Raw genomic sequence first — 24,908 nt, forward strand, 5'->3', positions numbered from 1 at the left:
TGAATGCAGACAGACTATTAAGAGGCTCCTACAAGTAAGGGGGGCCTGGAAAGCTGGATCCCAGAGTTTAGATGGTGAGACAGAAAACAGGAATCTACTAAGGTTTTTGAGTATGCTAATAAAAAAATGCTTAATAACTATTAGTCTGACAAGATAGATTGGAGAACAAGAAGATCAGCAAAGAAGCTGTGACACTAATGCAAGAGAGAAGGGCCCAGAGCTTAGACTAGATGGCAACCAAAGGAAGGAATGGATATGGAAGACTGAATATTCTTATTTAACAATAGTAGTACTAATTGACATGTATTGAATACTTACAACATTCTAGACACAGTAGATATTCTAGCTGATTCTTACAACTACCCTCTAAGGCAAGTATTACCCCCTTTTACAAACAAGGAAATGGAGAAGGAAAGTAATTTACACAAGAAACAGCTATTAAGTGGCAGAACCAGGGCCAGAAGCTAGGGCTGTCTTACATCAAAGGTCAGAACCTTAGTGACTACAGACTACTCAGGCATTAATGACTTAGCGGGTAAAAGAAATGAAGCAGAGCAGGTGAAAAAGCGTGAGGTTTAAAGAATTAGCTGAAGGAAAACGGATGCTTTCAAGGAAACTGATGTGGACACAGGAAGGGAGGAGAAGGTGGTGAGTCTAATTCCCGACATGCCAGATGGCAAAGTAAATGTTCACCCAGCAGGTGGAAATATGGAGGACACAGCAGAACATCTTTAAGCAGAGGCCCCAATGGCTAGATGAGGCCATGAGATGGTTCAGTAGTCCAATGCAAGTGCTGTGTGAACCCTTTTTTTTGCCTCATGAGCATTCAGCTTATAGTTGTACCTCCTTTTTAGCATTCAAACTCTGTTTGAAAGAATGTGTAAGAGCCTCCTTCTGAGTTGACAATAATAGGGCCCTCCTGCTCTGAATAGACACCTACAGTTCTAAAGAGCAAATGACTGAATATACTTTCGAACTAAACTAAGTAAATATATTAAGGAGAACAGACTGTATCATTGTTACTACCTCTCCCCCCAAAAAACACTGATTTTTGAGCAAGTATTGAGCAATTTTATCATTTATTTGGTCAATTGAGAATATAGTACTTTCTAGGCAAAACCTAAATAGAAAAAATAAAGAAACTATACATGTAATATTTATTAAATTTCCCAAACAACATCTTTTTCATATGATAAAATAGGGTTATCCTCACTGTAGAACAATTACACACAATATTTGGGAATCTAATCAACTGAGGTAGAACTCTGAAGGAAACTGAGCCAAACATAAATAAAATGAGGTGCCAGAAGTGAGAAAATTTTCAACACATTTCATCACTCTGCACTCGCCAGTCTTCTGGTCTTACTTCCCTCAGATTTTCCTTATCTTCTTTGACTGAACTACACTATTATAAGATACAACATATTGCCTAATTTTTTTATCTTTTCTAACATACAGCTTCTCCATATGAGTTTTTATTAGCTTTCTATGGGACATTTTGTTAACAGAAATGTCCAGTATTCCTACTTACTATTTTCTTATACATACACACACAAATGCACATATGCATGTGGACCCATACATGCATGGCCCATCACTGGCTCCACCACACTTTCTAAGCCCCAGGGATGTACACCTCACACTCATCCCCGTTTCTGCCAAAAGTATTCCTGTTGCTGTGGTGTTTACATTTCCAGCAAGGATTGTGTTCCTAACAGAAAATCCCTAAACTAAAAGAAGGCTGAAAAACCACTGTTCTACACTACTTACAACCAGGAGCTCATCCTCCCAGGAACTTGACTCAACACTGAAGGTGATGTCAAGGAAGAGTGAACGGTGGCTTGACCTGGCTGGGAAGGAGAGCCCTGCTATAGGAGCTTCTCTACTTGTTCAAAACAGGTTGCTGCTGGGCACTGCTGATTCACAATGCCTCCATGGGGCCCTAATAAGGGTTGTGCAAACCTAAGTCATGATTATTATATGCATAAAGAGCCGTTAATTCAAGTCTGAGCACCTAAGCAATCTGCCTACTTGGAGAAGAGCTGAAAACCTGGAGTTAGGAATTAAAGGAAGTGCCAGCTGCTAAATAAAGCAAACTTGGCCTTGCTGATCTGCATTGAAACAGAGATTAGGAACTAAACAGAAATGTCAGAAAGGCCCATGCCTACAGGAAGCAATCTGGGTAATAACACAGGGAAAATGTTACTGGGTTTTGTCTGGGCTTTCTTATCAAAAGCGTGATCTATAGAATTACAGCATCAGTAACATAAGGGAACTAGACAGAAATGCAGAATATTGGGTCCAGGATACAATTGCATCTGGATAAATATTTGGCCTATTAGATAACCTGTCTTTCTAATAAAAAGTCTCAAGCCTGTTGGATATACCATAAGTTCACAGTGGGCAGGTACTATATTTTATAGGTTTGCCACTCAAAGTGTGTCCCTGGATCAGCAGCAGCAGCAGCCATCACCTGGAAGATGATTGGAAGAGCACAATCTCCACCCTTCCCCAGTCCTACTGAATCAGAATCCACACATTAACAAGATCCCCAGATGATTGATATAAACAATAAAATGTGAGAAACCCTGATCCTACCAGGCCACTGATTCTCACCCTTGGCTGCAAATTAGAATCACCTGGGAGCAAAAAAAAAACAACAACAAACCTTGATCCAACTCCTAGACAGCCAACTAGCCCCTATTGTGTCTTAGTGCAAATTAGAAAAAGTCACTCCCTTCTTCCGGAGGACGCAACCCCAGTCAGTCTCTTCATCCAGGTGCTCTTGAACAGAAAATAACCTGTCCAATTCTAACTGGCAGCTTTGATGGGAGAGCTGTTTTCAAAATGCTAATGCCCAGTAATTGATCTAGGAGAAGCCCGGAATACACTAAAACAAACAAACAAACAAACAAAAAACCCATAAATATTTTTATTATAAAAAACTTCAAACATTTACAAAAGTAAAGATAACAATTCAATGAATTCCACGTACCCGTCACCCAGTTAAAACATGTTCAATCTTGCTTCATTTAAATCTCCCCCACTTCCCTTCCTACCTTGTCTCACTCTCAAGAATTGGAAAGCAAATCCTGTACAACATATCATACTATCCGTAATATTTCAGCATGGCTCTTTAAAAGAGATGGATTTCTTTTTAAAAAACAAAACCACAATATAATTATCCCACCTAAGAGGTTATTGATTCCTGAATACTGTCATGCACTGCTTAACAACAGAAATCCATTCTGAGAAACACATCATTAGGCAATTTCATCATTGTGCAAACATCATAGAGTGTATTTACACAAAACTAGATAGTACATCCTACTACACACCTAGGCTATATGCTGGCAATAGGAGCAATAGGAGCCTATTGTTCCTATGCTACAAAACTATGCAGCATTTTACTGTATTAAATACTGTAGGCAACCGCAACACAATGGTATTTATGTATCTAAACATATTTGAATACAGAAAAGGTACAGTAAAATTATGCTATTATAATCTTGTGGGACCACTGTCATATATCCAGTCTATCACTGACCAAAACATCATTATGTGGTGCATGACTCTCTAACAAATATATAATCAATGTTTTAATTTTCCCAACTTTCTTGTAAATATATATTTCAAACACTTTTAGAGTTTCTATGTTTAAGTCAGGAAGAAATAATTCCATATATTGCAAGTGGTTATTTTCCCTAAAATGCTTTAATCTTTACAGGCAATCCCTCTCCGCTTCTCCACACTCTTTCTCTCCCTTTTCTTCCCTTCTTCTCTCCTCCTCCCCTCTTCCTGAAATTTATTTATTGAAGAAAACAGGTCACTTTTCCTATGGATTTCCTGGCTGGATTTTGCTGATTATCCCCCTGATGTCATTAAACATGTTCTGTTGTCCCCTTATTTGCTGCAAGTAGATAGCTAGATCCAGAGCAGGGACAGACAAACTTTTCCCGTAAAGGATCAGATAGTAAATATTTTTGGCGTTCCAGGCCATATGGTCTCTGTAACTGCTATTCAACTTTGTCTGTAAACAAAAGCAGCCATAGACAGTATTAAGTGAACCTCTGCAGTTGCGTTCCAACAACACTTTATTTACAAACACAGGCATCAGAAATGATTGGCCTGAGGGCTGTAATTTGCTGACTTCTAATCTACAGCCTTAATCAGATGTAGATTCAAGCTTTTAGCAAGAATATTTCATAGACAGTGCTGTACACTCCCATCAGGTGGCATATAATGCCTGATTGTCCTTCTTGTGACATTAACGCCCATTGGTGATCATATCTAGGTGCTATCATTTAAACAGGGACTGCAAAACAGGAATATTCTTTATCCCTTTGGCACTTATTAGCTTAAGTACTTCTACAATAAGAAACTTTTCCTCTCAATGATTTTGTTAACATGCGATAGAATTCATAAAGGAAAGGCAGAATAAAAGCTTTCTTCTTTCCTATGTAAACAATTTTCAATATAATAAGCTGGTTACTTAGCATCTTCCAAAGGTAACCAATGAGGGATTTTTTTTTTTCTTTTTTGGTATTATGAACTCTTGGGTTTAAACCTTATTTAATGCTTTCAATTTATTATTCTTATTGATGTTCCAATTATCCCATAAATAGCCAGTGGGAGCCTCTTCAATTTGGCTCTTGAGAACTTTTGATATACTCTCAGTAGTCCTTGACACCATACTTACTATGCTATCTGTATGTCCAAATATTCCAGTCTAATCTTGTACAGTTCCTGCTCTAGACCAAAATCACCTATATCCCCAAGGAGTCATGGGTGGAGGAGCTCATTGCTGCTTGATTAGTTTCTCGACTATTTCAATGAAAATATTAGGAAATGTGTATATTTTTTAATAGATGAGATTTATCATGAACTCATATTCATTCACACTGATACTTCCAATTCCAATTTAGATGAATCTCTGCTATCTTGCTTCTGTTTCCCCTTTCCTCCATGCTGAAAATCCTAGTTCCCAAGGGTACCTATACAATTACTTGGTTGCTTTACTCCCCTCGCAATTCTAGCCAAGATTGAGCAGACTGGATTGAAGACTAACTTAGGTGAGGTATAAATAAAGAGCTTAATGTCTTAGAAAAGGCCTTTTGCACTTTTTGAATCTTCTGTATCCTTCTGGGTCTTAGGCTATTAGTAAGTAGGCACAGTCATCCCATAATGGCTCCTTCAAACTAGGGACACAGGGCCCGTGGGTTTTAGAAGTTTCAGTGAGAAAGGTAGAAATCAAGTGCATTTACGGGCTGTCACCACTTACTGCTCCTATGGCCCTGGTATGGGGTGACTGTGTCAGTCAAAGGCTAATTGGCCACTCCTCTATGGTTACACAGGGAATGAAAAATCCATTTATGAACAGAAGTTGTTGCTATCAAAAGATTATACCAGAAAAGGGGTAAAAATGGAGGTCACAAACTCTTCTCATTTAAGTTTAGATGAAGGCAGGAAAGTTACATATATGAATATATTTTATCAGTATACCAATAAAGAATGGAACAACTATATATTATACAGAATATATATTAATGTATTATATATCCTATCTCCAATTATTAAACATTAAGTACCTACCACATGCCAGGCACTGTGCAAGGCCCTGGGGAATCAAAGATAAATAAGACACACCCACCAACTTTGGGGGAAACAGAATGTAAGGTAGATAAAAAGCTATTTAAAACACAATAATACAGGTGAAAAAGTGGATTCACCCATAGAGAAAGGTAAGATTAATTCTGGACAGGGAAAATTAAGAAAGGTTTTTTTTTTTTGTCAGAGCTATTTTTTTCAGTTTGGTGGTAAAGAATAGGAAGTGTTTTAATATCCCAAGCTGAGGATTTCTTTAGCACCCAGGAGGCCTGCCTCTCTGACTAAGAGGATACACCCCCATGAAGGTATCATCCAACTTCATGGGGAGATGGCGCAAGCCTGAAGCTGCCTGTAGAGGAATGGAACCACACTTCTGTTGATCATGAGCCCTAAAGCAATATATAGGGCCTTTCCCTACCTAAAGGTCCATACAAGATGTCCCAAAGACCACCATGGGCTTGTAGTATCAGACAAGAGAACCATGGCAGTCTTTATAGGAGAGTATAATCTGCCTCTTAAACAAGTTAATAATAAGGATGAGTCTATTCCTGAGGGTTCTCTCACCCATGCTTCCCAAACATCTCCTACCACCCTACCAATTCCTGTTTTTATTTTCCCAGACGAGGTGTATCAGAAGGTAAATGCCCAATGAGAGATGCTGCCACAATACACAGGAAGGAAGACAAGGAGTGGGTGGGAGAATTTAACAAACAAAATCTTCTCTATCAGGAGAGGAAAGAAAGTGAGGAAGAGTTGCAACACCAAAAACATAAGTAATAAACGAGAAAATAAAGAGAAGCACTGATGGAAAATCACTCAGTGGGAGTTGAAGCCACCTTTATGTCTCAGACAGTTTGTAGCAGATGCTTTCATCTCATAAAACTAGGATTTCTGTTAAAATAAGTCTATGCTCAAACCAGATTATTCTGACCTTAATAAGAATATAAAATAAGAATAAGAGTTATATGACCTTAATAAGAATAAAAAACCAAGCAACATATTATCTTTTCATGGGAGATTTAAGCTTTTATCTTTTAAAAATGTGTTTATTATGATACAATATATAAATATCATAAGATAAATATCTGAAGCCTCTTCTACTGCTTTGATCTCCTTCAGCTTTGTTTCTTGGCCCTATTTGCCAACACAACCCAGGAAAGAAACCTTGCTCTCTAATCTCTGATGGAGCAGGCTTTATGTTTTGTTTACCTGCAGCTGTGTCTTTTTCCCCCATCTGTTTTTGGTGTATGTGCAGATACCAGTGATGTGAAACAACAAAGCTAAAGAATGTTGTTTGCATTTCTTATCAAAGAGCCTATCATATTTTCTAAATAATGAGTAAGTTAATGCTGAAGCTTTGATGCATTAAAGGAACGTGAAACCTTAAAGGAAAAGTTCACTGGCAGCATGACTATGCTACCCATTTAAAAATATGATGAAACTTTTTAAAAAATATGAAATTGGAGTGCTACCAATTGTCTTTACCTAGGTGGGCCTGAATTGCTTGTACCTTGGGCCTTTCAGGGGAGCTTATGGCCACTTCCAGGGCTGTATCGAAAGGTCTACCAACCAGGACAAAGGGATTTTCCAATATCAAGTTTTGTTAACCAGAGGTAAACAATTTTCTTTCTGCCCAGTTGATTTAGTATTTTTGTAGTTTAGTTGCTATATGTATGGACAGAAATGTCTGCTAGTATCTAAGGTCTAGAAGATTGTAGACTATCTAAGATGGAAAGAACCTTAGAAATAGTTCAGTCAGCTTTCATAGATAATAAAAAATCAATGGCCCCAGATGGTTAAATGACTTCTTCAGAGTGACAAATCTCAATTTTGGAGCTTATTGAAGATTATTCTAATAAAATATCAGAATATAATTCTCTAGAAGAGGCTAAAATATACACATTTCAAATTAAATATTACTTTTTCTTAGGAAAACATACAAAAATACTGAAAAAGCTATCCATTTGTTATCTAAAAATAAGGGCCACGGAAATAGAGAAAATCAGAAGCAAAGACATATCCTCAATTTAGTATGTAAAGCAGCAATAAGAAACTTTAATAGAGGATAGAGCTTAAAGTACGAAGTAAAGGAGGTATAAAATGTACCTCTTATGATGTGGTTTTGTCAGCAAAAGAATTCCTATATATAGAATACCATACCTTTTTAATTTCAGATTTCAAATTACAAGGGTTACTCTGCTGGCTGAAGAGGGATTTCTTGAATCTCTCTATAACCCTTCTTTTCAAATTGTGGTGCAAAGCTGGAGGAAGCTGCATAAAATAAGAAAACAATCATTATAAACAAATTGTTAACACTACACAGCTGACTACAAAAAGCATTCGCTGAGGGCCCATGTAACAATATTCACTCAATAGGACTATGTAAGAATTTAAATTTTACTGCAAATAGCATGACTAGATGCTATAATTTTTACCCTGCGATTCAGAAGGAATATATTATTTTGCTCTTTTTCAAATGGCTGCTTCCATTTATCTTATTGTTTCTTCATTGATTGATATTATTTTTCATTTAACAAATTATTCATTAATTGCACACATATACTGAATTTTGTGAAGAACAGTCTTGACACAGAATGGTGCACTTTTATCAGATGTTTAGGTGCTTATAATATGCCTAGAACTATGCCAAACACTGTAGCCTTGGTACTATAGGATCTGACACTTTGGACCAGGAAATACATATCTGCTTTAGTAGTATATATAGTCAGATGCCTGTCTTGGAGTGCTCCTGAAAATTCAGCTGCAGAGAGGTCAGATTTAGGTACCAATCATTCCAGAAGAAAGAGAGGATAGATTAGCATATATTAAGACCAGACTAGGATGAGTTACATTTAGTAAGTGAGTAGTAGAAAGTCATGGTAGGACCTTAGAAAACATGGTAACAAAAAAAATGGGGATTAAAAAAATGATTTGTCATGCTTTGTAGGTTGGATCTCTACAAGAAAATCAAAAGTCCTGGAAAGCACAGAAAGATGAAGTGACATTTAGAAGAAGGATAATAGAAAAGAAATTGGGTCAGGATTAAAAGGGTCTCAGAGTGGAAATAATATTTGGTTTTGTTTAAATTATGGAAAGAACTTGAAGGGAGAGAAAGAGGAACCAGTCAGAAAAAAGATGGCTAAGTGGAAAGGAAAATGTGATAGTAAGAGATCTCAATATTAAACAAGAATATAATTCAAAGCTCAGATCAAAAGAAAGAAGAATGTATCAGAAATAATTATTACCCCAACCCTGCTCTATTTTCTAGGCTCCTTTACAGGCTTAGTTAGTACCATGTGACTACTTTTGGTCAATAAAAATGATGTGTGTCACTCTGAGGATAAGACAATTCAAAGTCAGTGTGTTTTCTCCACCACTGTCCTCCCTACTGCAAGGAGCTTGGCATTACCATCCTATTCTGACTGCACAGCCACAAGAAGGAACAGGGCCACCTGAGCAGCCCGAATGGAACTGAGTAAGAAATAAACCTCTATTGTGTCAAGCCAAGGAATTTCAGGGTGTAACTGTTCGTTCAGCATGACTTAACCTTATCTTATTTACTCAAGTTTTGTCAGACAGGAGGACATATAAAAGATAATGGCAGAGCAAAGAATAGGGCCTACAGGGAGGGGCTCACAACACTGATTGCACAGCCAAATAAAAACTTTTCATCATCCCAAATATAGTAGAATGTAGGGCCCATTATGAAGTACTGTAATTATATAAAACAGGAAAATAATTCAATTGAAAAATGTTTTTAAAAATATATCTTTGGCTGGGTGCAGTGGCTTATGCCTTTAATCCCAGCACTTTGGGAGGCCGAGGCAGGAGGATCACCTGAGGTAAGGAGTTCAAGACTAGCCTGACCAACATGGAGAAACCCCATCTCTACTAAAAATACAAAATTAGCCGGGCATGGTGGTGCATGCCTGTAATCCCAGCTACTTGGGAGGCTGAGGCAGGACAGTTGCTTGAACCCCGGAGGTGGAGGTTGTGGTGAGCTGAGATAATGCCATTGCACTCCAGCCTGGGCAATGAGAGCGAAACTCCATCTCAAAAAATAAAAAATGTATCTTTTATCCTAGTGTTTGAGTCAAAATACGTTAATTAGCGAAGAAATAAGACTCTTCTGGAGATACTGAAGCACTTCAGTGTACTCTGAAATGTTTTGTAGGTTGGCAGCACTGAGTCTCCTCTGACCTCTTTTCAGGTCAATATTATAGTTTCTTTTGCCTTAATCCAGATGGGATCCCTTCCTCGGCTCCCAGCAAATAGTCATAATTATTATTGTCCTTTCACATGAAATGAAAGGAGGAAATTTAAAAAAATGTGGAATAGAGAAAGAAAAGAGAGGAAGGGGGGTGCAGGGAGAGAGAGAGAGATTTCTCAGCATTAAGGAGCAAATCAAAGACAGATGAGAAGGAAAATGAGTATAAATGATATATGTGTGTGAGAGAGAAAAGCAAAAGAGAAATGAATTTAACTTAGAATAGAAACAGACATGAAGGTGAGGAGCATGTGCATGTATATTCCTAGCAGGAAGATGGGATGGAGTAATGAGGGGACCAGAAAGTACCTGGACAGAGCACAGGTTTGATAATTCCCTTTTGTAATGCACCAAAAGTTGCCACTTCCCCAAACCAAACACCAGAGGGCAGTGTTGGCCCAGAACCCTCTAGCTGCTGCCCAGCTGACTGCAAGGGGCTGTCAAACAGAAAGGCAGCGAGCCTTCTCTGCTATGACAAACTTTTGAAAGTGTGGAACACCAGTGGGCTCATAGCTTCCTTCAAAGGGGACTTAACCCACTACTGGAAGCTATGAGTATCAGATTATTAATTCAGGTACTCTGAGAATTCTTGCGATTTATTTAACTTGAGAAGCCTCTAGTTAAGTTAGAATTGTTTTTACTGCTCCTGATGGTCTGAATTAAGCCTCAAAAACTCATTTGAGTAAGTTAACATTCAGTCAACTTAAGCTGCATATATATTAGAAAGCTATTGATCTTACTGGAATAATTATTACAATGGACAGCACCCCATCTTTGAAGTTTTTTCATACAAGAATTTAAAATTTTACACAAAATGATGACTCATGCATAGTTTAATTGCAGGTGATATAAACATAATAATATATTATACGTAAGGACTATAATACTAAGAATAGAATATTAATGTCTATGATTCATTTGAGCCAGACACTATGACTACTCATTTATGCGCAGTCTCACTTTTTTCTCCACGACAAACTTATAAAGCAAGTACTATTTTATAGGTGAGGAAGTCAGAGCTTAAAGACATTATGTAACATGCAAGAATACTTTCTGAGCAGCGTCTTCTAGCACAGCCATTATTCTAGAACAGATGCCACCATGACTAGCATTACTGTAGGATAGCACTTTATAGTTTAGAAACATTTTCAGCCAGGCACGGTGGTTCATGCCTGTATTGCCAGCACTTTGGGAGGCAAAGGTGGGAGGACCGCTTGAGCCCAGGAGAGTTCAAGACCAGCCTTGGGCAACATGGCAAGATCCATCTCCAATAAAGAAACAAATAAACAAACATTTTTACATACTTTATTTCATTTGAGGCAAGTAGTCTCATAAGCTCCCCCATCTTACAAATGAAGAAAGTGACTCTTAAAAAGATAATTACTTCCTCAAAGTCACACACCTAAAAGCTTGGTTTTTGTTTGCTTGTTTTTACTATACTACACAAAGTAACAAAATAATGAAAGCCGATCTGCATGTTTTATACTAGGTTTTCTCAAACTTGCATAATATTAATATTGGAAAAGAATATATAGATTTCTACATATGGAAGAATATATGGATTCTTTTAAAGAACTTGCTATATTCTCTAGTATCTCCAAGAATACATCAGAAGACTATCCATTGTTCACAGGACTCCATTTGATAAAAAGTGATTTAAGTTAGTTCCTAATTCTATTTTTTAAAAAGTTATTTTGACATTACTGCATAAGAGGATATTTCCCTAAATGCTAAAACAGAATGTTCAAAGACTGTTATCAAACTAAATACACAAAACATAACACTTCTCTTAGAATTTACAAACCCTGAAAATGGCAGTCAATTTAAGAAATACAACTTTATCCTAAATATCTTATTCTGTTAAATCTAGGTCACCCTTGCCATTAGTACAGGAGATCCAGATGAGCAGGTATGGATGGTTCTAGTCTTATCCATCACTACTGCTGAAAAAACACAGAACGTTTCACCAATGACAGTCAGTAGTATAATTTTCATTGGAGGACAACACATTGCTATTCTGAACTACATTTTTTTCCATTGGCAATAACTGTGGTTGTGAAGACAAACAATTCAAAGGCGCTTCAAATAAATGGCTTGCCTGTTCTCTAGGAGATCGATTTTTTTTTTTTTTTTTTTTTTTTTTTGAGATAGAGTCTTGCTCTGTCACCCAGGCTGGAGTGCAGTGGCGCCATCTCATCTCACTGCAAGCTCCACCTCCCAGGTTCACGCCACTATCCTGCCTCAGCCTCCCGAGTAGCTGGGACTACAGGCGCCCACCACCACGCCCGGCTAATTTTTTCTATTTTTAGTAGAGACGGTGTTTCACTGTGTTAGCCAGGATGGTCTCGATCTCCTGACCTTGTGATCCACCTGTCTCAGCCTCTCAAAGTTCTGGGATTACAGGCGTGAGCCACCGCGCCCGGCCCCAATGTTTAATTTTTAAAAGATGCTATATATCCTGATTTTCAAAGCATCTATTTAACAAAACAATCTAAATGTAAGTATAAAGTTAAATCCAGTGCTTCACTGGGCTGTGCAGGTGTGACCTAAGCAATAACACATAAAGACTCATACTCAAAGGTAACATATGTACTTTAGTCACCTTATATGTCCAAAGGTAGATTTGGGGTTCCAGCAATAGAAGTAAACCACTGATTTCATACTTAGCTTGCTGGTCTTACGATTACCATTTCAGCTTTGATAAAAACAGAGGTCAAATCAGTTAGAAAGCAAGGTAAGGATTTTAACATCCTGCCTTCTAAAATAGTTGCTTTTAGATGATTTTCACTGATCTGTCTCCATGGAAACGAGACAGAAAAGGCCACCACCAACCAAAAGTAAGAAGTTTTCCTTGTTAAGTTCATCTGCTGGTTGTCAGGAGATATGTGGCCCCTCAGTTTAGGGCAGCTACCAAGTGTTAAGTCTGAGAGAGTTTGACTAGTAAATAAATATGTGAAAATATTGTCTTTTTGTTTGTTTTTCCAATTCATTCTTACTTTCAGTCTTCCTTTGCAATTAGCAAAGTAACTGATCTTGGTCTTTAACCTATAGCAAATACACTAGTATAATATTTACATGTATTTTTCTTTTTTATTTGAAAGTCATTGACTTTGTTTAGCACTATAAGTTAAAGTTCCTCAAAGAGGAATCATTCCCGACTATGTGCAATGTCATAAACTTTAGAGTATTCTGGAAATACATTTTAAAAATCACGATAGTTATATTTGAACTTGTAGCAAGGAATGCCATTCTGCCAAAAAAAATGAAATCATTTGTTACACTGGCAGTTCAAGAGCATAATAATAAGATATTTATAATAGTTTTACTCTTGCTTTAAACTACTTTGAAATCCAATAAGAAAATGGTATACATTATAAAGTTTTTTATTACATAAAAATTAGCAAGACAGGCATATGAAAACTATATTTAAATTTCAAAGGATATTTCTCTCAATTGAATAGTTAATAGTTAAGAGAACTAAAAAGCTATTTAAAGCTATTTCCGTAACACTAAAGTTAAGAATGCTTTTTCCATATTTCTATATCAGTATTTAAATGGACATGCATTAATATAACCACTTTACTCAATATAGATATGGCAGATTATATTTTGATGTATTAGTCAAGCTTCCCCCAATATTTCCCTGTACTCCTTCACCCTCTTTTACGTAATTAGTTAGACAATTCTGTGGTTGCCTAAGAGAAAGCTTGACAGCAGAAAATAGAAAAGTGATCAGTTTTAGACTCTTGCATCTCCAAAAGGCAGCCATCGGGAAAGAAAAAAGAACACCAGAGTTTGGACAAAACTTGATAGATAAGACCCAGGCTACTCAGCCCCAGGCTTAAAGACTACCCAGGCTAAAGGGAAAGCAAGGAGAACTCAGAGGTAGGGAGACACCAAAGAAGGCGGTTCCTTGTCTAGTCCCCTAGGTTAAGTGTGTCAGTAAGCAGCCTGTCAGCTCCAAGTCCACCCTTTCATTATCCAGCTTGTGATACTGGAACATTTCTCCCTTGCCATCTAGCAGGATGCTAAGCTCTATCAGAAGAGAGCCCTGGAGGGATGCTGAAGGAGGATGGATCTTGTTTCCTGGCTCCAGTGATGCTCCTGCGTTGCCTTGCTGCGGCAGCTCATAGCAAACAGCACATGTGGGACCCCTAGAGGTTGGTGCTAACCCCCAGTCAAATCCAGTGGCACCAACTCTGCAGGTCGCTCCCCAGAGAATTCCATGGAGCAACACCTAACTCAGGGTGGCCTCCCCTGGTCCCATGGAGGGTGCTACCCAGCACAATACCCTCAAGTGCTGATTCCCAGTAAGTTCCAGGGCACAGTACCTCACTGTGGAGGGCTTGCCCAGGTCCCCCAGAGGGACACTTCGCTTCAAGTTTCTCCAGTATAGCACCTTACTAATTTTTCTGATCTTTTCAGTAAGGTCAGGACTTCGACCTAGTGTGGGAGTGCCCAATTCTATATTTGTTCCTTTCTTGGGTGCTCTGCCTCAGCCCTAGAGGTTGTGACTTCTTTTTGTGCTCTTCCTACATCCTTTAGATTTCTCTTCCCCTCCCTAGTAGATAATACTCATCATAGTTAATAATTCTTTACATTAAACCTTCCCTGTTGAAACTATGGTATGGTTTCTGACTAGACCCTCACTGATACAGATACAGGTTTTAGGAATGTCCCAGAAGAGCCCATACAGATAGGATTTGGGAACTGGTTTGACTGTGCCCTTGGAACTGAGCCCAGTGCTGAGTTTTGTTTGTTCCTTTGCTTGTTGCCAATAGGACATGGGATGCTAGTAATCCATGGCATGCAGTTGCATCACAATTAATCAGGTTATCCTGATGAAGTGCCAACTGAAGCAGGTGCCTTGGAAGCCCAAATAGCTGCTGTTCTTGACTAGTAAACAGTAATGAAGAACACAAGGACTATGGCACAGAATGGGTTCTTTTGAATGCATTGGAGCACTTACAGAAAGAAAATGACAAGCTTGGGTCCTTTACAGCTCAGCTGAAGTCATGGTCTGAGACGTGGAAAGATCCCAAGATAGCCCTAAAAGAATCCATTGCTTTCTTCTGCTACAGTGCTGATATGGCTGATAATCGAAATTTAATCGAGCAGCTTACTAAATTACAAGGTCGGATGAAGTCACATGTTATCAAATTTCTCATGTGAAAGTTAGAAAAAAAAAGAATTCTAAAACTTGGAATAGGAACATCTTGTTGAGACTACCCAAGTAAAACTAACAATCCTAAAACCAAGGTCACTCTGAGCCTTCATAGCAATTAAAAATAGCTTGCCACTCTGTGTCTGAGAACATGAACCTTTCTTTGCTTGAAAACCCTATGATAACCTCATCTAGGACAAATGTCTTTAAAAGGGATGTTCATTTCCTCATGAGATCCAACACAATGAGGGTCAAATCCATAACTAGGGTCCTATTTCAATATGATCCAGGGGAATTCATGTACACCATGACCCAGTATGAAATAGGAAAAGAATTGCAAGATTTTGCTATTACATTTCAGCAGCAACCCAGAGAACATGTACAGGAGTGGATTCTAAGAAGGGTAGGCCAAGAAGGGTAAAAACTATAGCACTAGATCAGGCTGAATTCATTGATATGGGTGCACGTACTACAGACTCCAGATTTCACATGTTAGTTCATGCAGCTGGAAGTAGTTTAACTGGTTGTTTGAGTAAAACTTGTACTTAACCATGGTCTGTGTTTGATGAGGGTAAAATGCCAGAGCTTCTCTGGCATGTAAAGGGGTGATTTCAAAGGCTCAGAGAGACGGGCTCATTGGGGTAGATTTACCATGTGTGACTTGCACACCCACTCCCTAACCACATTCAGCAAGAACATCCAGAAGCCATTCCTTTCACTAAGACATTGAGAAATACATTGGAAAGGGGAGCACCAGCATCCTTGAAAAGCCCTGTGGTTGCTCTCCTTTGGAGGCCAGGTATGACACCGAACGATACATGATTTCAATGTATCCAGTTGTCAGGGGCCAACTGACAGCACTTGACCACTAATAGCAAACTGAGAGCATCTTCCATAAAGGGCAGCAGGGAGGTACTATTATTTAGAATGCCTTAGCCAACAGAGATCTTTGGCAGTGGTTAGTTGACTAGGGTGTTCCTGGAAAAGAAATAGATGGTCTGCCTATTAAAGTATTCCTTGATCAGTTTAACAGAAAAGATTATCTAGGTGTGGTAGACAGAAACCTGCCCTAAGTTGCCATTGCTACAGTGAAGAGTTATAGCTTCTCACACAGTTTCCAGATGCAAGTCAATTCAAAGACTCAAAGCCCCTTGATTAAGTGGAAAGCTGGGACCCCTTGAGGAAGGCCCCTGAAATATTACTACAAGTGCACACTATACATTTTCCTCCAAACCTCCCCCAAGGAGAACCGCAGCCATTTACTAGAGTGACTGTTTACTGGGGAAAAGGAAATACACAGGCTTTCAGCAAATACTAGACACTGGTTGCAAACTGACATCAAGATTCCTAGAGTCTTATCATGTTACTGTGGTACACCATTTTTAATGATTTTTTGTTTTGGGATGTTTTGGGTAGGGATGGGGGTTAGTTAAATGAAATATGAGCCCAATGGGCCCAGTTGGTCCATTTAACTTGTGGTATTTCTCTTCAGTATCTGAATATTTAGTTGGAATTGCCAAAACTGGCAGCTGACAGCATCCCCCATTGGTTCTTTGAATCTAGAGCAAGGCAATGTTTATGTTTTGCTCGTGGATGTATCCCAAGTCCCTAGAATAGCATCTGGCACATAGTAGGCACCTAATAATTATATGTCAAGTGAGTGAATGAATGAATAAACCACATAAGATACACAATTTTAGACTTCAAAATAACAGTGACTTTCATGTCCAAAGGTCTTCTGCACTTCTTTGTCTAAAAAAAAGATTTTATTAACCATATATAACAGAGCCTTCAAGTTATTTCTAGACATATTTCTGTCAATAATTAATAGCCATTTTTTAGCACTGATTATTTTCTCAGTGCTAGGAATCACTGAGATTTACAAGTAGAAAATTTTAACAATTCTGGATTTTGTGTGGTTTTGGCTTTCACTCTCTGAAAGGTCCTATTTTCAACCTAGCATTCTCAGAATTAATGTGTGGGCACTATTTTCCTCTTTCTTTCTTAGAGTAAAGCTGCTTAAGAGCAAAGAATCCCAACTCCGTCTCCACTTGCACCCCTACAGGAGGGCCATTTATGGTGAAGTTTGGTTTGTTTGGGCACTAACAGTAAGAGAGGATGTTAGGAATCATAGGGAAAATCCCATATATTTGCTTTGTTACTCTACTGCCTTCCCAGCTCTGCTGCTAAACTAAAGTGTCCCCACATGTATGTAGCTGGGGAGGATAAGAACAAGAATTCAATCTAAAGTCCTCCAAAATAGTTCTTCAGCAATATTAGCACCAAACTTGCATTTAAGATGAAAAGGAAATAAAAAGCTAGAACACTGACCTGTGTGATATAGATTATTTTGTGCAGCTGAATTAATATCTGCTGAATAGGATCACTGATCTGACGCACTTTCCTCTGGGACACAGCAATTCCTGCTGATGCTGTGGGTGATAAATTTTGTAGTTAGTCAAGTTCTCTTTCAAAAGTTACATTAGTGAAAAAATGAAGTAAAATTCTAACACAAATTTTAAAGCAAAGACTTCACCTTATCAATGAGACAATATGCAGAGACCCTGTAATACTTCAACATTTTATGACATGGAATAAAAAATATCTTCCCTTTACTTCTCAGACTTCTAAGTAACACAATGATATTATCTATAATAACATCTGAAAGACTGCTTATCACTTGGATATTTTGCTGGCAATTACAGCAGGCTGCCATCAGGAGTCAGCAGTGCCTTAGATACAGTAGCCACTGAAAAGCCAGGCTTCAGACATGTATAGTTAAGAGGCTATCATGCTTTTAACTTTTAAATTCATTATGCCTTCCATAACATATTTTAAGACTAATTTTATCAAAACTATAAAATGTAATCACTGAACATTCTTACAGAGCAAAAAAAAATGAAAATTCTTTTAGCTAGAATTAAATAACTTTCAAACCTTTGATTATTACAAATTATAATTTTCACATAGATTTCTCTCCATGTCTAAGTAGGGCACATTTATAATTTATCCTGAATTCTCATCATACAGCCACACCACCTTCACAGTTTTCAGACTAATTCAGTGTCAAATTACATATTAGTTGCTTTCCCAGCGTCCTCTGCCATAGCCACAGTCTGTTCTTAACCTGAGGACTATAAAACTATTTAAAGGAATGACTCTTTTCTCTAGATTACCTACAAGGCCACCTCTGCCTCTTTTCACCCACAGAACCACACTGGATAAAACAAAAAGAGACTTCAGATATGTGATGTGCATTATCTTCCTTCCTTTCTCTTCCTTCTCTTTCTCTTTCCTTTCCTCCCCTTAACCTAGAGTGTGCTTTCCGCAATAAAACTTCTCTTGCTAATTTCCTTTTAAAAAAAAAAAAAAGATGAAAGTTCCAAAGACCCTCTTTTCTTCCCTTCACACAACATTGAGCTACTATGAAGTTAAACATGAATATAGTTATTGCTTTAACAACAGCTAAACATCTTTAAAAACGCTTCTATTATAAGCACTTCCTGAGAAAGCTTGCATATTTTACCATAAATATTTTGTTTTCAAGACATTTAAAGAGAACATTCAATGCAGTCATTTAAAAGAGTCAACTTGTTTTATTATAAGCACATGAAAATGTATATTTAAGACATAAAATGCAAAAAAGAATAAAATATAAACATTCAAAGAAATACTACTTTCTTTACAGATATCTTTACTGAGTTAGTTTAGAATTTAGCACAAGAAATAATCTAGTTCTAGCTCATCTGCAGTTAATACCTTGTTTAAATGTTTGAAATTTAAAGAGTCTCTATCCCATGGACACAATGTTTACTCCTTTTAATATGAATTATTTGATTATTAATATGAGGTTTAATAAATACCCTTGGGATAAAAATGTAAAGAGGCAAATAGAAAGAGTTAATGTAGCTCTAAAATAGAAAACAGAGAGCTGGAGTTGTCTGCTCCATCTTGTGGAGATGGCCAAGTGTACACATGCCATATTTTCTACAGTAGTGCTTCTTGGAGAAATAATTCTTAAAATGTAACTGTTCGTCTAGACCCAAAACAAATACTAGACAGTGTGTAACATGACCAAGTTGTTATTGCTACAGAAAAATTAACTTTGCATTCTCTGAAAATGGAGAGCTTGATTTTTTAAAATCATTTTTATACTATGTTTCTGATTTGTAGATGCAACATTCATAGTTTATAGATTCATAGATTTTAATGAGTTAAAATCTCACAACATGGCAAAGAGTTCTTAGATCTGTGATGACATTTTGAATGGGATATCACATAGGTTTGACTCTACCTTGCCACAAGAATGTGCCCATCTGTGGCCCTAAATACAAAAACAAAGAGTTAGCTAGAATGTCTTCCTTCTGAATTAATCAACTATGCAATTTTTTTAACTCAAAAATTATTTTTATTGAGACCCTTTGACCACTACCCTCACAATCCCAACACATCCTTGACTTCTGGAAATACTTTTGATTACTTAGTTATTAAAAAATAAAGTTAAAAATATTTAATTACGCATGCCCCTATAAAAACAAGCAAGCAAACAAACAAAAATGTTAGTTGTACAAATGAGATTCAAGGCTCCCAGGAGCCACCACCCATCACAGCCACCTCCCCAGAAATAACCTGTGATATCAGAGGGGTGTGTTGACTTCCACTCACTTCTCTATCCATTTACATACATAAATGTACACTTCAAAACAGTGTTTTTCAAACCATACTTGAGTCCTGAAGCCAATTTTAATGTTATGATCAGCATTTTGAAAAATGATATCAAATGAATCGGAACTAGATTTTAAAATTTCAGAGTACATTGGAAGGGTCCACTCAGCCAAGACATAAAATGCGTTTTCTATTGATAGTCATTTCCAAGCATTTGAAAGCTACTATTATGGAAAATCTATAGCAGTCTGTCCGTCCTCCCTTCCTCCTTTCCTCTCTTTCTCTCTTGCACTCTTCCTCCCTTCTTTCCTCCCTCCTTCCTTGCCTTCCTTTGTAAACAAATGGTGACATATCACATCACATAAACTGTTGTACAATTTATTTTTTTCACTTAGTCTATCATGGAGATGGTTTATTATCAACACATGCAGTTCTAGCCCATTCTCTGTAACCGCTGAAGACTACTATGTGTCCTGGATGCACTGTAGTTTACACAGCCACTTCTGTCCTAGTGGACACTTCCTTTGCTTTCAATTTCTCATGATAATAAGTGATGCTGCAGTGAATATACACCGGCATGCCTCATTGTGCGTAAGTACAAGAGTTATTTTAGGGTAGACACAGTGAAGTGAAATAGCTGGACCCAAGGATACATTGTAACAAATACATTTTTAAGTGGCTGAGTCAATTTACACTCTGACCAGAAAAGAATCCATTTTTCTACACCTCGGTCAACAATATATATTATCAAACTTTTCCACTGTGCCAATCTGATTGCTTTTGTATTTATCTAAACGCTAGTGAGGTTGCTGTACTTCTTTGGTAAATTTCTTGCTTGTATCCATAGTTCTTTGTTCTTATTGATTTGTAAATGCTCTTTAGATATTCTGAATACTCATCCTTTTATTACATTATTAAAAAATTGAAACAGGGTCTCACTCTGTCACTCAGGCTGGAGTGCAGTGGCATGATCACAGTTCACTGCAGCCTCTGCCTCCTGGGCTCAAGCAATCCTCCTGCCTCAGCCTCCCGTGTAGCTGGGACCACAGGCATGCACCACCACACTTGGCTAACTTTTATATTTTTAGTAGAGACAGGGTTTCACCACATTGGACAGGCTCGTCTTGAACTCCTGGCCTCAAGTGATCCACCCACCTCGACCTCCCAAAGTGTATTTTTATTCTTCATTTAAATGTTATTAACTGCCAAACATTTGGCAAATGTTAGCCATAACATTTTGTCTAGCTTTAAAAACATTCTCTCTCAGTATATCTTTTAGATTAGCCCACTGAAAACGCTACACTTTCTGACTGTTCACCAAAAAAAAAAAGCAGCATATATTTATATTATCAATTTTATACTGAGAATATTTGTATTAAAACAATTTTTTATTAAAGAGACATCGGTGAGGCTGATCACAGTTCATGTGCAATGTCAGTCATACATAATATGCCCATGATTCATATCTATGTGGTATTTCCTACTGCAAAATATATACACAATATTTGGTCTCCTTAAAATTTAAATAAAATCAAAGTTTAAAATATTGGGATACTTTGTATTCTTTTATAGTTTTTATTAAAATAGTAAATTTGGCTAGTGTTTTAAAACTTAGAAGGAAACTACGAAATTTCTTATAAGAGGCAATTTACTTAAAAGCGTCAAAAAGTCATTACATAATTATATTTGCTAGCTTACTCTGTTGCAAGCATGACGCTAAAGAGCTATTTTGTTTCCCCTTTGCAGTGTTAGGTCAGAGGACTTGCAAGAAGAGCAGTCCTTCTTTTTTAGCAAGAACTTGGGTGAGAAACTGGGAGGTGTTTTACACATTTAGTCTGCTTTAATCCACAGAGGAGACTAAATGCATAAAACACCTCCCAGTGCCTGTAAACTGTCTGCTCCTTTATTGGTGTAGATTCTACCCCCATTTTACAGATGAGGAGACTGAGTGCTGTGGTCTAAATGCTTCTGAACCACCAAAATTCACAGGTTGAAATCCTAATCCCCAAGGCAATGGCATTTGGAGGAAGTGAGCTTGGGAGGTGATTAGGTCCTAAGGGCGGAGGCCTCATGAATGGAATCAGTGCCATTATAAAAGAGGCCAGAGGGAGGTGGTCACCCCCTTCTACCATGCAAGGACACAGCTAGAAGGCGCCTCTGGTTACTGCAAATACAAAACAATATCTCCTTCCCATAATGAAATATTATTTCTCTTCTTAAAAGGACTGCTACTTTTAACACGATGTTCTATCTATCTCTCTCAACATTTAATTAATTATTTTTGGAAAGCATGTAGACATAATAAGCTGGAAGCATTAGGTCTTTACAGCTAGTGCTGTGCACTACATTCTGCTTTAGTATATCATTGCATAATAAAATAGCCAAGTTAGTTGCCCATCCCTGGTGCTTTGACACTTGACACTTGACACATACTATATGTCCATTCTATTGAAACTATAATTCACAATATACACTTTGAAGCTGTTAATAACTACAAATTAAACCCAAAAAAGTGGGTTACACTGTACTCTCCCAATTGATCAAAATATGGTATCAATGCATTATTTTTCTGAATTCTCTCAGCTAAGGATCAGGAACTTTTGGACAACTGGAGAAAAAAAGGGTTAAGGAAGGAAATCCATGAAGAAGCAAAAAATATATTGTTTTCATGAATGGGGGGCCAAAACACACATGAGCTTCTCTATATTGGACCAACAGTGTTGTCAAACTACAATACAAATTTACTCTCACCTCTTTACTATCATAACAATGAAATAAAGTAACGTAATTGTAGTTCAAATCTGTAAGTGTTCAGCAATCAATCCCTGTGTCCCTGGTTAGATGAAGAATCTTGAACTCATAAGGATTTCATAGAAGGTTCACCCAGACAACCATGGATGTAGGCTAAAGAGCAAATTCAAATGTTAATTTGAGAAGACCAGGAAGAATTAGAAGGTCTTCGATAGCACAGGAAATGTATTGGGTGTGAGGGAAGTTGTATGTGAGTGTGGGTTCTTAGGAGAAGGAATAATTCCAGCAAAGAGTGAAGTCAGCTAAGTGAGGGCTGCAACTGAAGAACAGCAAACTGTTCAGTTTAGCTGGTGTGCAGTACAATAAAAAAAGTACAGTATGTATACAGCTGGAGAGGTAGCCAGGGACCATACACGATGGTGAGAAACAATAAGGCTGACTGTATTTCAGGAAAGGTGATCTCACGGGAAGAGGATCATACAGTTGAAGTCAGAGGCCTGGCTTGCATTGCAATATGGTTTTCAGAAAGTCACAACTTCTTTGGGCCTTAGTTTCTTCATATGAAATGGCAGAATGGTAAAAATGGGACTAGAACCAAGGGGGCTGAGGTCATACACGTTGTGGGGTGAATCAATCTACAGTGCACTGTAGCTGTTTCCACATGGGGAGCAGGAGCCAAGGACTGCTGAAGCTTGGGACTGAGACACTGAGAATATGATGTTCCATCAGAAGAGAGAGGGAAGTGACAGAGGATATGATGCATGGACAATGGAAACTTCCCAACACAGACCAGTAGACCATTCTATAATCAGACAAAAAGTGTTTGGAAGGAGCTTGGCAGTCTAGGCCTAGATGCCCCTGCTACCCTAGCCTCCGGCAGAGTTTCTCACAGAATGGCAGGAAGCTGAGTCAAAGCATCAGCTCCTTTCACCTCTGGGTGATCAGGCAACAAACTTCCTTTCATTTGAAACTTCAGGAATAAGCTGTTTAAAGGCCAGAGGCAAGGCTGCTTTGAAGTCCTTAACTCTTGAATTCTGGCTGAGCCTCTTTTAAGTAATGTGTCTTATATTCCCATAATGGGTAATGTCACAGTATATTTAACTAACAATCTACACCAATAAAGGAGCAGACAGTTTACAGGCCTGTAGCGTTAGAGGTTAACCTGCAGAAATTAATATACTGGTATGATTTTACACCCAGTCAAGAACTTGATCACAAAAATGGTATCATTTTATTGCCCTATAGAAGTTCTACCAGTCTTACGCTTAATTTAGCAATCTTATGTCAGCCCTTCTTTCTTGCCTAACTACATAAATCTCTGTTCTTCAAATGCTCTTGAATCAGCATTTTTGTCTTCCACCTGGTTCTATCATCAATGCATTGAATAAAACTCAGACACTTGCCAAAGAACAACTTTAAGAATTGTGCTTTTGCACCCCAATATAAAAAATAATAAGTAGTTATATAAACAGAAAAATTTTTAATTGACACACTATATGAAACATCCCAAATAAATTATTGAATCCATACTGAGCAGAGTCAATTAAGAATGAACAAGGTTCCAGCTATAGTGGAGGGCAGGCAGGTATCCCAGAGAGAAGAAAGAGGCCTCTTGCTTTCAGGAGAGGGAACTGCTGTAGCAACCATTATAGAATGGTTTGGACACAGCCTTAGTTGTATCAACATTTTTCTTGAAGAAAGGGAATTAATAGAAGCTTAATGACTGATTCAATGATTAATACTCCCTTATGGTTTAAATGTACTCTGAGATCCTTAAAAAAACTACTCCCCAGACAGGAGCCAACACATGGATAGATTCTTAGCTACTGGTGCTTACATTTCTACACAGGAATAATTTGATTAGATGTCCATATGTATGTCCAAAATGGTATGGCTCATGTGCAACAGACTCCACATGAACCTAAGGTCTTTGATATCCAGGTTTCTTCTTCTTATAATTGGCCCTTCTGTCACTGTCCTCAATTCTCAAATTGGTCAATGCAACAAACTAATTCAAAGCATATTTGTAAATACTTTTAACATATTTTTAAAATCCACTATAAATTACTAATAATGGCAATTTGGAATTTGAGGGTGATGCTTTTCGCTGTTAATTCAATTATTTTACACACCATGCTACAATCATCACCCAAGTCATGCTGACCTACCTCCCTTTACTCCTACCAGAGAGTGGGATACCTTTCAACCCTTACTTCCTTTAGCCTTTCCTCCCAGGCAGAAACCCAAATGGCATGAGTGTGAGTTGCCATTTAACAGGTGATATGCAATTTGGATTTAGGCTTGAATTGGAACCACCAGTAACTCTTGTGAGATGAGTATCCATTTGAAAACACATTACCCTAAAATGACCATGAAAAAAATCTACATCTCCAAGAAGCATCCTCCTGGGACCCTGTACACAGTCGTTTGGCACCTCCCTTGGCATGAAGAATG

The 24,908-nt window shown here is 37.8% G+C and overlaps 1 protein-coding gene across 25 annotated transcripts in view, besides 1 other annotated feature; it reads right to left on the reverse strand.

The window, feature by feature from the left end:
* NEK10 (NIMA related kinase 10) overlaps nt 1-24,908 on the reverse strand; it is a 262,900-nt gene that overhangs the window by 17,629 nt on the left and 220,363 nt on the right. For 16 of the 25 annotated variants that reach the window (XR_001740034.2, NM_001394967.1, NM_001394964.1 and 13 more), the window contains 3 exons: nt 19,333-19,362; nt 17,370-17,470; nt 7,768-7,878 (listed from right to left, as the gene is read on the reverse strand). Coding sequence is in view for 24 of the 25 variants with exons in the window: in NM_001394967.1 (NP_001381896.1) it covers nt 7,768-7,878; nt 17,370-17,470; nt 19,333-19,362 (242 nt within the window). In the remaining variant the exon portion in view is untranslated. The remainder of the gene's footprint in view (nt 1-7,767; nt 7,879-17,369; nt 17,471-19,332; nt 19,363-24,908) is intronic. The other 9 variants (NM_001394969.1, XM_047447506.1, XM_047447508.1 and 6 more) reach the window with 1 other exon arrangement.
* Nucleotides 10,186-10,345: a silencer, noted in NCBI's record as "silent region_14148". NCBI's record gives its function as "represses an Ori minimal core promoter by ATAC-STARR-seq in GM12878 lymphoblastoid cells {active_cell/tissue: GM12878}" and the evidence as "EXISTENCE:reporter gene assay evidence [ECO:0000049][PMID:35858748]".

This window comes from Homo sapiens, chromosome 3, assembly GCF_000001405.40.
Source record: "Homo sapiens chromosome 3, GRCh38.p14 Primary Assembly".
Lineage (NCBI taxonomy): Eukaryota > Metazoa > Chordata > Mammalia > Primates > Hominidae > Homo > Homo sapiens.